Raw genomic sequence first — 15645 nt, forward strand, 5'->3', positions numbered from 1 at the left:
ACCCTACTTTCATCAGGGAGTTTATTACAAATATAATTAAACAATTATGTGCATTAATATTTACTTAATGTCTTTCTATCTCACTATACTCTCCTGTCTATTACTCTAACCTCAGCACTTAGCATAATACCCAGCAGGAATGCTGGCCAAATAGGCATCTCCTTCCACCACTGGAGCTAAGACTTCCACCACTGCCACCAAGACTCCAGTGCATCCCTCTTCTGCAAGATGTACAGTCCTCATGATGCCTCTTCCTTGGACTCTAAGATGTTGACAGCAGTCAGTCTGCCTCAAGTCCGTCTGTCTCCATGCCTCACTGCCAGCAGCACTGTTGGCTGGTGACATGCCCTCCTCCATTTCCCCATCCATAAAGGTAGCCTATGTGAGCTCTTGCCAAGAGAACAGATGGCCAGGCTGTGTCCAGCTTTATCTCCTAAGGAGGTATATTTCCTTTTGCAGCTCACAACCTCCAAGAACAAGTGGCCTATGAGACAAGAATTTGGCATTGGCTGGTCAAAATTTCTCCAAACCAGTTTCTCTATAGGCATCAGGGTAAGGTACATAAACTGCATTTTGTTCCTTCCCTTTGAGAGAACAGCTGAGGTAGAGACATTGAGGTTTCTGAAGTCAGACATACTTTGGGAAATTATTTATCTTTTTCTACATCTCATTTTTTTCATCTCTAAAATGGATAAAACAATTATTACTCCATGATGTTGCTGTGAGGGGTCATGACAGAATGACTGTAAAATGTACCAAATGATATATTTCATTAGTCTGGTTGCATTGACATCTACAGACTCTTTTATACTCAAAACTGTATGAGGCCACCACCAATGGAAAGTGGTAAAATCTAGCGCGGCAGTCCCAGAACTACAAATAGCTCACTGGAGATAAGATGACAACCAAGATTCTTCTAAGGCTGGCTGTCCAGGCCTGACAGTCTCCCTGAAGGCAATGAAGAAGCCATCTGTATTTCCAGTGATTTGATAAATTCCACTGTTAGAAATTAAAACTGACAATAAGAATTTTAAGAGATGCCCAGTTAAAATACCCTAAAGGAATAGTACCTAGCCCAGGAATCATGACTATGAGAACTGCATAATATTTTTCTGGAAGCATGTAGCGTCTCCCTTTGTTTGTCTGTCTTGTAATCCCATACCTTTAATGTAAAGGGATTGGATGCTTATCTTCAAAGGTGATTAGAGTCAGGAGGTTGAAGACGCCATGTCCCACTGTATAGGCTATCTTCTAGAGAAAAGAACTCCAGGGTAAGAGGTGTCTGGTGCCTCCTTCTACAAGTAGAGGAAAGCATGTGTCCCCGGGCCTGCATCAAAGGAGAAAAGAAAAGCATCTCAAGCACATTCAGGCTAGAGGCATGACTACCTCCTCTGAAGGCTTTAGAGACCATGCTCCCCAACACGATGCCTTCTCTTGCCCCTGGTGGCTGCGGTAATGTTACACTCTCTCAGCTCAGTCTTAAGCTGTGCTGGGTGAAGGACAGACATTCCTTGTGCAATGGACTGCGCCTCTCACTCTGCCCATGGGTTCCTCACCTCTGCAGCCTGCAGAGATGCAGTCATCATTGTAAGAGATCACATTCTGCAAATGCAGAGATTCCAACCTGAAGAGGTGAAGAAAAGACACATTTGGGAGATGTGTTGTTCTACATTTATACCATAAATTGAAGAATAGGTGGTTTAAAGCTACAAGAAAATAATCATTTGCATGTTTCTACATAGTCTGGGTAAGTCTAGCATACAGAGTCACCACCAAGGAAGCATAGTAACAATCTCTGAGAGAGTCATTGGAAGCCAGTATTCACTGATGGCAAGGTAGATAAATGATATCGTATCATGAGTAATGATACAACCAGCATTAAAATAAATGGTATTAGGGTACTGCAGTGACGAGAAGATCTATACTGTTTCAATACAAAAAGTTCTGAAGAGCCATGTCATTGTGAGTAATAGCAGTGTTGCTGTAGTTTTCTTGCATAGGAGATACAAAATTAGCCAAAAACAATGCCATTGATAATAAAGAACATGAGAGATGCCTGAACATATGCACTGACTGGACAGTATATAAATATGTAAGTATCTCTTCTATACTCATTTTTCTAAGTCTTCACTGACAAATCACTTTACTTCACAGAGGCCCATGGATTTTATAATATATTTTTAATTAAAATGCATAGATAGGGGTCCCACAAAAACATTTGCTCAATTCCCCACACATCCTAAAGAAAGCCAGAAGACCTGTCTCTCAACATCAGTTATCCCTTTCTACCATGAAGTTTTAGCTGAATAGTGTACATGGTTGCATAAAGACAACAGTCCCTAGCCTCCCTTGTTATGAAGTAGGGCCACTTAACATTTCTGGGTTATGCCTCTAAAAAGAAACATGCAGGCACTTCTACCCTTTCGCTGCTTCTGCTGTCTGGGATGAGAACAGAAGCATTCCTGGAACCCAGAAATGGAATCCAGGGGTTAGGATGATAGTCACCTACCAGCCCTGGCTCACCCATCTCTAGACTGTCCTGTGATACAGAAATAAACTCTATTTTATTTAAGCCACTGTACTTTGAGGTGTCTTAGAGACAGCAATTTACTGAGGTGAGAAAAAAAGAGCCTGTGAAAAATAAATCCATGGTTCAGTTTTAGACTTATTAAGCTCAAAATTCCTATGAAATATCAAAATGGCTATGTCAAGTGAATAGTTAGATCCAGTGTCTGAAGCTCATAAGAGAGATCTATGTTAAAGACATAAATGCAAGAATTGCCAGCATACAGATTTTAATCAACTTTATTGAGGTATAACTTACAATAAATTGCACCCACTTAATATGTTCAATTTCATGAGTTTTGACTGATGTATACACCTATGAAACCACCTCACAATAAAGATACAGAACACTTCCATAATCCTGAAGGGTTTTGTGGTGGTTGTTTTTTGTTTTTGTTTGTTTGTTTTTAATGCACTTCTTAGCAATCCATCCCTCCCTTCGTCCCCAGCCTCCGACAATGCTGATCAGCTTTTGCCACTATAGATTAGCTTACATATTCTAGAATTTAAATAAATGGAATCATATAGTATGTACATGCTCCTTTCTGTCAGCCTTCTTTCATTTAGCATAATGCATTTGAGGTTTATCCATGGTGTTGTATGCACCAATAGTTCATTCTTTTTATTGCCGAATAGTATTCCATTGTATACATAACACTACTTTGTTTATCCATTTACCTGTGGATGGACTCTTGGGTTGTTTCCAGTTATGGCCTACTGTGAATGGAGCTGCTATGAACATTCATACAAGTCTTTGCGTGGACCTGTGTTTTCCATGTAGATGGATCTTAATCTTTAAAATTCAAAATTCCCAGGAATTTGAGAAAATAAGAGAATGAAGGACCAAGCACTGAGATATTCTATTTAGAGTTTGGATAGAAGAGAAGTCTCCAAGGCAGACTTGGAAAGAAAGGCCAGAGAAGTAGAAGCAAACCAGTTAAGCATGATGTCTCTGAAGCCAAGAAAGAAAAGGATTTCAAATGTAGGACTTGACAGCTCTGACAATGCTGCTGTGAAGCAAGATAGGAGGTGAACTGAAGAGTGTCAATTATATTTGATAATGTCCAAGTGACTGACAACCTTAGCAAGATGAATTTAGGTGAAGAAGGGTGGTGAAAACCAAATTGGAGTTAGCCCAAAAGCAAATAAAAGGTGAGGAAGTGAAATAAATGTGTATACAAGAGTTCTTAGAAAATTGACTGTGAAAGAGGTGATTGAGGGGAAGGTAGAGTTAGGAAGAACTGTTTTAAATAAGAGATACAAAAGCATGTTGGAATGATGATGGGAAAAATTCAATTTGGGCACAGACACAGGGAAAGTGCCCTATATTAATCCAATATGGGCATTTTATTATAGAATGCATATGACAAGGGAACTGAGGGTATCTGCAAGAAAGATATTTAAATGAACATGAAATGTAAGTGAATTGGGAAGAAAATAAAGATAGGAGATGAAGAGGTTGATGGATGGATGCTCTTAATGAAGTAATGCTGTAGTGGAAGTGGGGAAGAATAGAAGTAGTGGCTGAATAATGGCAAGTTTGAGGAAGTGACTTCAGAGCAAGGCAGTCTCTGGCAATGACAATTCTAGAGTGTGACCATGGAAGTGAATGGCCAAGTCAAAGTGCAGGAAAAGTCATCATCACTGTGGAGGTCAGGCAACTAAGAGACAAGGTGCCTACTGTACAGGTTGTCCACATAGGCATTGAAGTTGCCAAGGGCTAAGACAAGAGTGAGGCTAGAAAACAACACTGACAACAAGCATACTCATTTCTAGGAAAAGGTCAGACCCCCTGGTCAAGATGAACTCAACATGGGAAGGAAGCATTCTAGGGGATTGGAGTCCATAGCAAACAAATACAAGCTGTGGGGCCACTGCAGGAGGTTTTGGAGTCTGGCCTCAGATTCAAAAGTTGTGAACATCCATGGGGTGGGGGTGGAGGGATGGGGGCACATGTCTGGCTTTTGTGGGAGCTCTTAATTGGCTAAAGCTATTTTGTGGCTTAAGGAAAGAATTCTAGAGAAAAATCTGTTTCTGCTATTTCCAGCAGAAGTTGTTCATATAGTCAAAGTGCCAGTCCTATGAGATACGGCCACCATTATTTTATATTTATTACTGTACTTAATCTTCTAAGAAAACAGGATTAACTTTCAGATTAAACACCATGTAAATGTTGCACTGTACTTTAATTAAAATGAATAAGCTAATTAAACCAGAAAAAAAAGTTCAAATAAGCCCACGAGAGTAAAGCATTAAAGCATATACCCTTTGTTAATGCTTTGTGATGTGAGTAAAGATTATAGCATATTAGAGATAAATATTAGTTGGCTTTTGTTATATTAAAGGTTCCTGGATCATATATCATACTATTAATGGCTAGCTTATATTAATTATGTCTGCAAACCAAAGCAATATTTGACAATTTATGATATATGGTATATCATAACATGACTCAATTCTGAATAGGATTGTTAGTATGGATTTTAACTCTCATTTTGAATTTAGACTTCTGAAAGGTGGCAAATCTTTGTGTTTATTTAATGCCATTAGAAATAAGCCTTTAATAGAAAAAAGACTTTGTAAGACTAAAAGCAGAGATGCATTCATTTCATCCCGCTTGTTACACTAAGATCCTAAGTGTATAAGGGTTCCTCTGGAGCTATTATACCAAGTAAGGGGAAGTGCCTGGTAGCTCTCAATGAGATTCAGTCTACAACTCATTGCTACTGAAGTCAGGCCATGCTCTGCTGCGTAAATGTGCACTCTGGGCCGCTTTAACATGGAGATTATGGGTTCAATAGGCCATTGCTGCTCTTTTGGGCATAAACACATTCTTGGGGGATTTAAATATGTATACTATTGCCCAAGTCCAGTGTAATTTGGGGTATTGCTCTTATCTGTTATGTCATATATCTTTAGTAGGGACACTCTCAGTTTGCAAATGAGTAATTTCTCCATTACTGTTGGTGTACTGTTCAAACCAATTTCCCAGTTTATCCTTCATGTTGATTGACACTTAGTATCCCCTCACTTAGCGTAGATTCTTGACAGTTCCTGTAACACAGCCCTTTTTATTTCAATTGACTCTAAGATAATGGGCAGATGGATGAATCACGGATGGATGGATGGATGGATGGATGGATGGATGATAAATAAGTGATAGATGATAGATAGATGGATAGATAGATAGATAGATAGATAGATAGATAGATAGGGTTGGGGTGGAGGTGGAGGTGGGTACCAATCTCTGTCTGGTGGTCTCAGAGTCCTCTTCTCTATGTAGAACCATTCATTATTGAGAGAAAGCTGGCAAAGTGTCTTAAAGTGTCTTCCTCCAAAAAACCAACTACGTAAATTATGCAGAAGCCACACACCAGGAACTGGTAGGACATCTATCCAAATGCCTCTTAGTCACTTTCCAGTAGTCTCAGTAACACATAACCCACATCCTTACCATTGTCTGCCTTTATAACACCCACTCTTAAAACAGTTGTCCCAATAGTTTGTATGTGTAGTATTAGACTCAGCCAGTACATCACTCACAGTTGAAAACACTTTTTATCTATTTATCTAATAAACCTCTGTGTGATTTCAAACTTACTGATGCATGGGACAGAAACATTTGTAAAAGTCCTCCTCCACCCCCAACAATTTTGTGGAACTGTGGGGATGCCTCACCACCTGAATAACCCCTGCATCCTGCAAACTACAGAAAAACTTGGAGGCTTTCATTGACCACACCAAAAACAGAGCCAAGCTAAGTTTGTTTTTGTAGCTTTCAGATTTGACTACATATCATTTTTATTGTTAGCATTATCACCTTGCAGTTTTATAGCCTCTTTTTTCTGAGAAGTTGAAAGAATATACGTTTTCCCACTTCATGATCACTTTTCATTTTGCAGAAAATTGAAGAGAAATAGAAGATAAGAAGGGGGAAAAAACTACGGTAAAACGCAAGACAAAAAATGAAAACAGAGGATGTAGTATTTGGAACAAATCCTTTCTACCAAGTATTAATGAATTCCCACACCATGAGAAATGTGCTTAAGCCCAATTCTAACATGTCTAATTTAGGTGCTAATAAATAATTATTTGCTTTAATATACTCCTTTCTTGCAAAAGTTTTATGTAGTAATAATAATAATACTAATAAGTTGCTAACATGTACTGAATGCATACCGTGTGCTTGGCATTGCTGTTTCACATATATTAACTTATTCTTCACAACCACCCTATGAGGTAGATACTATTTTATTATCCCCATTTTATAGATGAGGAACTGAGACACTGATAAATGAAGTAATTTTCCTCTTGTCCCAAACCACTAGGAAAGAGTAAATCTAAGATTCTTCCTTTCATCTTCATAATCCCTTCAGGTAGATAAGAGTATCCCCACCTTACAAGTGAGGCTCACTGAAGCCATGTGATTAGCCCAAGGCATCAAATAACAGCAGATCTAGTAAGAGAAGAAGGAGGATTGGGACTGGGTCTCTCCACACATCTGACAGGTTGTCTCCCAGAAAGTGGGGCCATGGCCATCCCTCATTCCGTGAAGTATTCCTTCAGAGGAGTCTTAACTGAGTTCCTGGAAAACTCAATCGCGAACAGTGAAAAGAGATCTATTCTGGATAATTTTGGTCTGGAATACATTTCCAGTCACTTTGATCTGATAAATATCAGACAAGACTCAGAAATACTAATATACACTTATTAAGAATTCAATCAACTAAAAATCCCAACCTATAGAAAGTTTTGTTTACATACTATTGTTATAAAACCCAAATCACAAGGAAAGATGCTGATTAAAGAAACTTGTCTTCAAACCAACTTTTGTTCTTATATCTTCTTTAGTATGTCCTATGTTACTTTTGCCCTTGACCTTCACTTTTAGTTGTATTAAATGAAAAGCAGACTTGGAAGATTCTTCTAAATCAGTGATAACCAATACATAACCAGTGGCCACCACCCTCCTCTTGTGTCTGTGGCAGATATAAATTGCTCACAAGCTCTTTCATTCTGATCCATAAGAATCTATCTCAGCACCATACTCCCAGCAGCCCTTACCAATCAAAAACAATTGGTAAGCATGTTAAAACCTACTTGTAACCTTTATTCTAGAGATGTTTAGTATCTGTCTCCTCTGTGTTCAAATCAATATAGATGTCATTCAATGTTCTATACCTCCATTGTCTATCTCTACGCTACTGTGCAATAGAGACCCATTAGACACCATAAGATCTAAAAGGTCTTTTACATTTGTCTCAGTCTATTTGGGCTGCTATAACAAAACAGGCAATTTACAAATAACAGAAATGTATTTCTCACAGTTCTGGACATTGAGAAGTCCAAGACTGGGGGCCAGCAGGTTCAGTGTCTGGTAAGAGCTGCTCTCTGCTTCCAAAATGGTGCTTCCAAAATGGCTTCTGTTTCTTTGAGATGACTGAGGTGTTGAGAAGGATTACTAAGGAAAATCAGGGCACCAGTCCCCAGTGTACAAGCCATGACAGAACCTCCCCATTGTCAACAGCTCTGCCAGTAGTAGAGGGCTAAACTTAGAGAGGACTTCAGGGACAATGGAACCACAGGGAAACTGATGAGACCTACTGAATGACTAATCTCATGCCTTCTGCGTGGACCGCCTGCCTTCCCCCAAGAAATCCATCTTCTTCGGAAAGCTCAGGCCAAGCTGGCATAGAAAAAGATCCTTTGAACCCCCAAAGCTCCATTGAGATATGAGAGCATGAATGAGTCATTTTATGAGTTTCAGGTACATTCTTGGTAAAAATAAAATAATATAAAATAAAAATGAAGGCGTATGGTCAGATAAGTTGGTCTCTTCCCACTTCTTATCATCTTAAATTGGTGACTCTAAAAATGATACCGCACATGGCAAATGGAAGAGCAGGTAAAAGTTAAAAGATTTGCTTAAGGCCACAGAAAATCCCAGGACCAAATTTTGCAATGATTTTAGGCACTTTCTAGACACAGTCTTGAAAGTTTATAATAATCAGCTACTTGCTACTTATGAGATACTCTTTTAAAAAAGAATTTTCTTGAGTGAAATTTATTCCTAGTTAGCTGTAGATTGCTTTAAAAAATGTACACTGAAATGCTGTATTGTCCTGGAGGTTTTTTTTCTTATTTTATTTTTTACTGTGCTAATGGTTTTGTAGATAAGGTTAATGAGATAATCTTATATTTTAAGTCTACCCAGCATAAAGATTGTTTCCTTTTACTGTTCCAATTTAAAAACAATTAATGTTCTAATCTTCTTAGAAAGTAGCTCAAATTTGGAATGGTTTGAACTAATGCAGTTTTATCATAGTCAATAAAAGTGCTGGAATGCCACAATAATAAAATGTAAGCTAAGTAAAAGAAAAAAGTGCCAGTAATTATTCAGAACCCTGTGGCGGGGGTGTGTGTGTGGGGGGGGTGTGTATATATGAGCAAGAGAGACAGTGACAGAGAAAGAAACAAAGAGAGAATGAGAATAAATATGTCAGGATTTCCATAGAGTAGCTTTGTAGTACACGAGACATTTACAAAATCCTTGCTGATTTATGAGTCAGCCATTTTGGCTTCTGCCAGAAATGTGCTCAACAGCTAGAATCTAGTCCTGTTGGATAACCTAGTATTAACACTCAGACTTCATTTGTTTTCATCATTGCTGGCTCCTTCCCAAGGAAGGAGATTATATATGTCTTAAGATGAAAAGATTGAATTCTAAGGAGTAAAAATCCTGCATTCACAGCACACAAAACTTTTCATAAACAACTTGTCACTCTGAAAGAGAAAAAAATACTTTTCTAATATTTTATTATGTAGAAGTATATTACAAGAGTTTAAAGAGAAGAAAGGAAAAGTTTGCTGAAATGACAAAATGAAATGAACATTTGCCAACATATATATGCAGTTGTTTTCTATTCAGCTATTTTGAAATAAAAGTCTAGAACACTCTACACAAAATGTTGATCCAACAATAAGTCACCATTAAATAATGATTCTCACACCTAATATTCTTATTGATGAACTTCAATATGCCTTGAAACTGAGAGTTTTGATCAGACCTGTGCTCCACTCCAGTGATCAACAAACTATGGCCCATGAGCCACATCCAGCATGCTGCTTTTGTAAATAAAGTTTTATTGGGACACAACCATATCCATTCACTTATATATTATCTGTGGTTGCTTTCATGATAATGGCAGAGCTGAGTAGTTGCGACATTGATAGTATGTCCCATGAAGCCAAAAAAATTCACTATGTTGACCTTCCAGAAAAACTAGGCTGACCCCTTTTCTACAGAACAAATATATTCAGTGCTTCTTCCACCAATAACATTCAAGAAATAAATAAGCCAAATGTGTTTCGTTGTATCTGCTCTCCTCCTATGCACCTATTCATTCAACAAGCATTTATTAAGTGCCCACTATGAGCTGTACACATGGTAGCCTTTTTATATGAGACCCCTAATGTCATAGACTAAAACTGAATGAGAGTTTTCTTAAGCACAATTTCTAAAAAAGAAATGCTCTAATTTCAAAGCGAATTTCTCAACGTTTTTTAGTCATAAATGTTTGCTTCCTGATTATCTCTTGTCTGAATTTAAGATTTGGAAATAAGCAAAGAGATGAAGATTGCATCTCTTTTCTAAGTTTAGCAGCACATGCCTCAGAGATGAGCCAGTGCTGTCCCACCAGCTTGGCCCTCCCTTCACTTGGCCCTCTTCCACCCCAACCTGAGAAGCCCCTCACTGGGCACACAATGAAAAATCCTACTCTAGCCCATTCCTTTATGTCTATGAATTAAATACTCCACAGAACAATAGAGAGCTATCCTTATTTTTAAAGGTCTTTAGAAGGAGAAACCATACCTTTCCAAAGTAGGTGATTTTAGTGGTTACCAATTTTTCCTTTTTTTTTTTAAAAAAAAAAACCCTCTCTCTTGTCTATTTACATTTAAACTCATTTACTTCTAGCTATCTTCTGAGAGTTGGGGAGTATCTTCTAGCATTCTCAGATCTGAGTAAAATATGCCTCTGTGGTTAACATATGTACAGGGGTCAAATCTTTGGCTTCTTTGAGCAGCTTTATAGCTAATCCAAGAAATACCCACATAATGGACAAAGATGAGACAGTCCATGTGTCACCCATATTTAAAGAGTCAAGTTGCTAATTAAAGAAGCAATAAGATAATTTATTATAACAAAATTAGATCCAGATACTATTCCTTCTGCTACAGTCACCAAAAGACTAAGCTGGGGCAAGACCTGGACTGAATATTAATGATTTTGAGTGAATGACCAGGGCTCCTTACAAACCACCAGAATCATGGAAATATTCTGAGTTTGATCTTAAGTTCATGGAAAGTAGAATATTCTAAAAGTAGCAGAATTCAACAAAGTGAGCCCAGGAGCAACAGAACTGGAACCTACCCAGTAGATACTGTTGGGCTCTAAAGAACGACACTGAGCCACTGGGCCTCCCAGCATGCTTTCTACTCCAAACGGCAAGCCCTTTTAAAGCAATGCTTCTCCTTCCATCCATTCATCCATCAACAATAAAACTGCTTTGACAGGATTGATTTAATACTTGGGAGAGTCCTGAATTTGATGAATGCATGACAGCTGCTTATTTTGGCCTCTTTTGCAAAGCTGTAGCTAGCATTGTTAGGAAAGCTCTAGATGGAAATTCTTTCTTCCCTTTGTTTCATTTATCAGGGCATATTCAGGGTAACTGCTACAAAGAGCAGAAAAGAAATGGCTCCTGGAGCTCTTCTAATGCAAAGGGTGGGTACACTGCTGGAAACAGGCATGCTGCTGAACTGGGTGCTTATAGACTCTTTGCAGACCTATGACATTGCGCGTTAGCACCAATGCCATTATCCACGGACAAAACCTCCCTGGTTCTCTTTGACTCCCTTCAAGTCATGACAGGTCTCCTGCCTTGTTTCTTCCATCAACCATGCCAACTATTCTGGAAAATACTCTCAGGCTTCAGGGAAGATTGTGAGGCTCTTCAAGATGTCAAAGTTCTCCCACCCATTCCTAATTGACTGTCCTTCCCAGCCTGCTCTTTCCTCTACCACTTGCTTGAAATTTCCTCCAATCACAAACACCCAGGGTCTAATTTTTCTTGTATTTCATTGCAGCAAGTCCAGCACTATCCTCTAGTGGCATTATGTCAGCCACTAAAAGTATTCTTTAGATTAAATGACAGGAAGTAAACACCCACATTGCAGAACATGCTCCACTCAAGATAGAGAGGTAAAGGGTTCATTGCCAACTGTATTTACAGCATGGTGAACTAATGCCCCTTAGCTGAGAGGGTACAGTACAGTCATCCGCTAGCTTTCATTGGCTAAGAGCACACAATCATACTTGGAATAAGGAGAAAATGTACATTATGGTATACCATCATGGATTGTTATATATACATATTTATAAACTTATATTCATTGGATATTTTTATTCAGTTCCACAAATTTTAGGAAAAATTTCAGAAAGTCCCACAAATTTCAGAAACAAGTAGTATTATACCAAATCGAGGTTATGTGCTTTCTGGCAAATGCTTCAGATTTTTTAGACAGATTGTTAAACTCTTCGGCTTCATCTCATAAATCTTCATTCCAAACTCAAGGGAAGTTCCAGAGGTCAATTTTTGTGGTATCAAAGCTCTCATTCTGCCTGAGTTACTCAACTGGAAGCCTCTGGAAGCCAGCTCTCCACCACAGCTCCGGCTGACACCAGAGAGAAGTGGGCAGCACCATCTATGACTCACTAAGACAAGGTAAGATGAGGGCAGGGGATTGACTGGATGGAAAAAGATAGACCAGGAGAAGATAGCTGGGGGATGGTCCAGGGAAGGGTAGGGGCAGAGGTGTGCACTGGTTTGGCCCTCAGGATGACAGTATCCAATCAGACCAAGGGGAGAGCAATTCCAGAAGCAAAAGGAAGAGACTATTTTCAATGGAGAGGCAGAATTAAAGGCAACCTAGACAATAATGTACTCTGGAGCTAGAACCAGATAGCAGGAAGGACAGATGGGCAGAAACGGGCAGCCACCTTCTCCCCAGAAAGTTGTTTATAGCTGTAGCTGTAGGAGATGGCCACCAGACAGAAGCCATGGCCTTGCATGAGGAACACAGTCAATGCCCGCACATGGCCAGGAAGTGAGGGAGCATAGGTATAAACACCACAAATTATCTTGCTGATTCTCTTCACTGCATTCTGTTGCCAGATGCAACAGAGGGGAGGGGAGGAGCTGAACTGATGCACTGTGCAAGACAGCCTCTCAGAGCACAGAGCAGGGTGGGCAAGTGTGGACAGTGAATATGCAAGGGTGAACCAACAATCTCTAGCACAGCTGGGACCACGACCACTTGCAGACACTGGCACAGAAGTCATGCTTTGGATCACCACGTCTGAATTTGAGGCACTTAACTTGCTTCTAAGATGGGGAAGGGGGAGGAGTTTCTTAAATATATTCGTTTATATTCTTTTCTTTCAGTTTGGCCCAGGTACTGGCGCTCATCGGAACTCTCAGGCAGGAGTCGTCTCTGCACGTATGCAAATCTCAAAAGCACACCTCCTCTAATGCTTGCACTTGGTTCTCAGGGCACCTTTCCACAGATCAGGTCAGCATTTAATGTTCTGAGTGCCATTCAGAAACCTGAAGAAATTTACACAGCCCAGGGAGCCAGAACCAACACCTCCACTTGCAAGTATATTGGTCACATGAATTACAAAGAAGTTTTATTAAAAGAAAGTTAACTACCATTAAAAGAAATTTCCATTCAGAGTTTCAAGAAGCCCAGGGTAAGCTCTCTCACCCAGGTAGACCCCACTCCCAGCTGCTCTGGGGCAGGGCTGCTGACTCCACCAAGCGTCACTGGCTTGGACTGTGTTTCCACATTGCTACTCTCTCCTCATCACTGCTGAACCTGCAAACAGCCACTGCTTGCTGTTTCCCTGGTCACTGAGCAGCTCCCTCCACTCCCAGCCCCTCATCCTTTCAAAGCTCCCTCAGATAGTAATGTTTGTTTGCTTGCTTGCTCGTAGCTTAATTATGCTCCTTTAGCCTCTAGGCTGTGGCAGAAGGTCAAACCACAGTTAGGCATTGAAGCCATTGCTCCCCTAGCACAATCAGCAAAACCCCAGCATGAAGCCCAAGCATCTCAACTCTCTCCTGCCTAGAGGTAAATTCCTTCTCCACCAGGCGCTCTCTGAAGATTGTAAGGAGGCTCTCTCTCTCTCTCTCTCTCTCACTCTCTCTCTATTTTGTTATTTCATACCTGTTGCTAACCATCCATTTTAACCTTTCTCTTCACTGTTTTTACCCACTGGGATTCCTCAGCAAACACAAGTTTTATGGATGTTTTGCAAAGACAAGATGGTGTTGAGAGAATGAAAAGGTGATAGCAATCATGTATCTGCGTTTTTTGCCCACAGTTTATCGAGATGCCACACAGCTTGATAGGTTCTTAATTAGTCTGACCCAGAGAATCTGAGACCTTCTAAAAGCAGTTTCAGAAAGAGCAATACAAATCACCACCATTATAATAAAAGCCACTGTTTATTGAGACTAGGTCCTGTACCTATTTAAACTGTGTGCCTTACATATGTATCCTTTAATCCCCACAGCAGCCCAATGTGTTATATATTATTATCTTCATTTTAGGAATTAGCTTACAGAATTTAGGTAATATACCCAAGATTAACAAGTCATAAATTGCAAAAACAGGATTTGAATTCAGATCCTGGGCAGGCTAATCTTAGTGCCCATAATGCCTACTATCCCATTATAAGGAAAACACACGTCCACAGCCCCTGCTATAAGATGAGACTAAATCACTTGTTATGCAGAGGTACAGGAATATGTTCAATTAAAACAATAACAATGCCAAAGCGTGAAATTCATAGCACCATGAATATAAAAATAAAACATCTTAGTAAACAAGACATGTGGGGCTGAATTTTCACCTCATCACATCTGTGAATTCTTAGATGCATTTCTTAGACACATGATTTTTCTGGATTACTATTATATATAATTGACATACATATTTACTTTTCTAGTACTTCTGGAATGATATAAAATACAGGACAATTACTCTTCCCGTAGCTCTATTAATACATTTGATTATTTTAAAAATCATTATTTCAGTGATTTATGTCTAAGTTTGTCAGACTCCTTTCCCTTAAGCACCACTTCCAATTTCTGATATTAAGCATGTCCAGCACAGCTTGGGCCAACTACATGGGCCCTTCCTGATGTTACAACACATCTTTCTAGCTTTCCTTACACCACACTGTGACATGTACTTGTAGGAGAAGAAGGATTTATTTCCGTACTCATCACTAGGCTCATAGCTGAGGCACCTATAGCACAAGACAGAATAACAAAAGAAAAACAACCAGATTTATTTAATAAGTTTTATGTGACATAGGAGCCTTCATAAGGAAATGAAGACCCAAAGAAACAGATAAACCTGGATGTTTTTATGCTTTGGTTTGAAGAAGAGTGGATGGTGGTAGAGAAGTATATGATTAGACAAAGGAGGTACGATCTAATGGTAATAAACTGGGGGGAATTTAGCAAGGCCTGCTTGTTCAGATTTTCCTCTGTGTCTTTGAGGATAAGGATGTTCCTTTCCTCTGGATATAGGGAGGGTCCATCTAAAATGAGGCTTTATGAGCTGCTTCAAGGGAAAATGGCAAAGGGAAGGTGAGGTGCTTCTGCTGATTTCTTAAACACCAAGGTACCATATTTGGAGGTAGCAGGATCTGGATTCCATCAACCAGCAGAGGCTTACTCTGAGGAGTCAACAAGAGCATCAGTATGGACCAGCAGTTCCCTCAGGAAGCCAGGCAATGGGCCAGCCTCCCTTCCCCAGGCCAAGATGGGCTGAGTCCAAAGCTTACAAACTAAGTGTCCATACAGGCAGAGCAGGTGACGTAACTGAGTGAGGTGGCTGGGTGTGAAGCAATCAGGAGAGCACGTGGAAACTGTAGTGTTCCTGCCCTCCACCCCCTATGCCACCTCTCTGCCTAAGCAGATTATTACCACGTGGGATGGTGGC

At 39.7% G+C, this 15645-nt stretch overlaps 1 long non-coding RNA gene across 3 annotated transcripts in view; it reads right to left on the reverse strand.

The window, feature by feature from the left end:
* Window positions 1–1103: 1103 nt before the first annotated feature.
* LOC105373760 (uncharacterized) overlaps window positions 1104–15645 on the reverse strand; it is a 101257-nt gene continuing 86715 nt past the window's right edge. For all 3 annotated transcript variants that reach the window (XR_001739795.1, XR_001739796.1, XR_923622.2), the window contains 2 exons: window positions 1557–1624; window positions 1104–1327 (listed from right to left, as the gene is read on the reverse strand). This is a non-coding gene — a long non-coding RNA (uncharacterized LOC105373760). The remainder of the gene's footprint in view (window positions 1328–1556; window positions 1625–15645) is intronic.

This window comes from Homo sapiens, chromosome 2, assembly GCF_000001405.40.
Source record: "Homo sapiens chromosome 2, GRCh38.p14 Primary Assembly".
Lineage (NCBI taxonomy): Eukaryota > Metazoa > Chordata > Mammalia > Primates > Hominidae > Homo > Homo sapiens.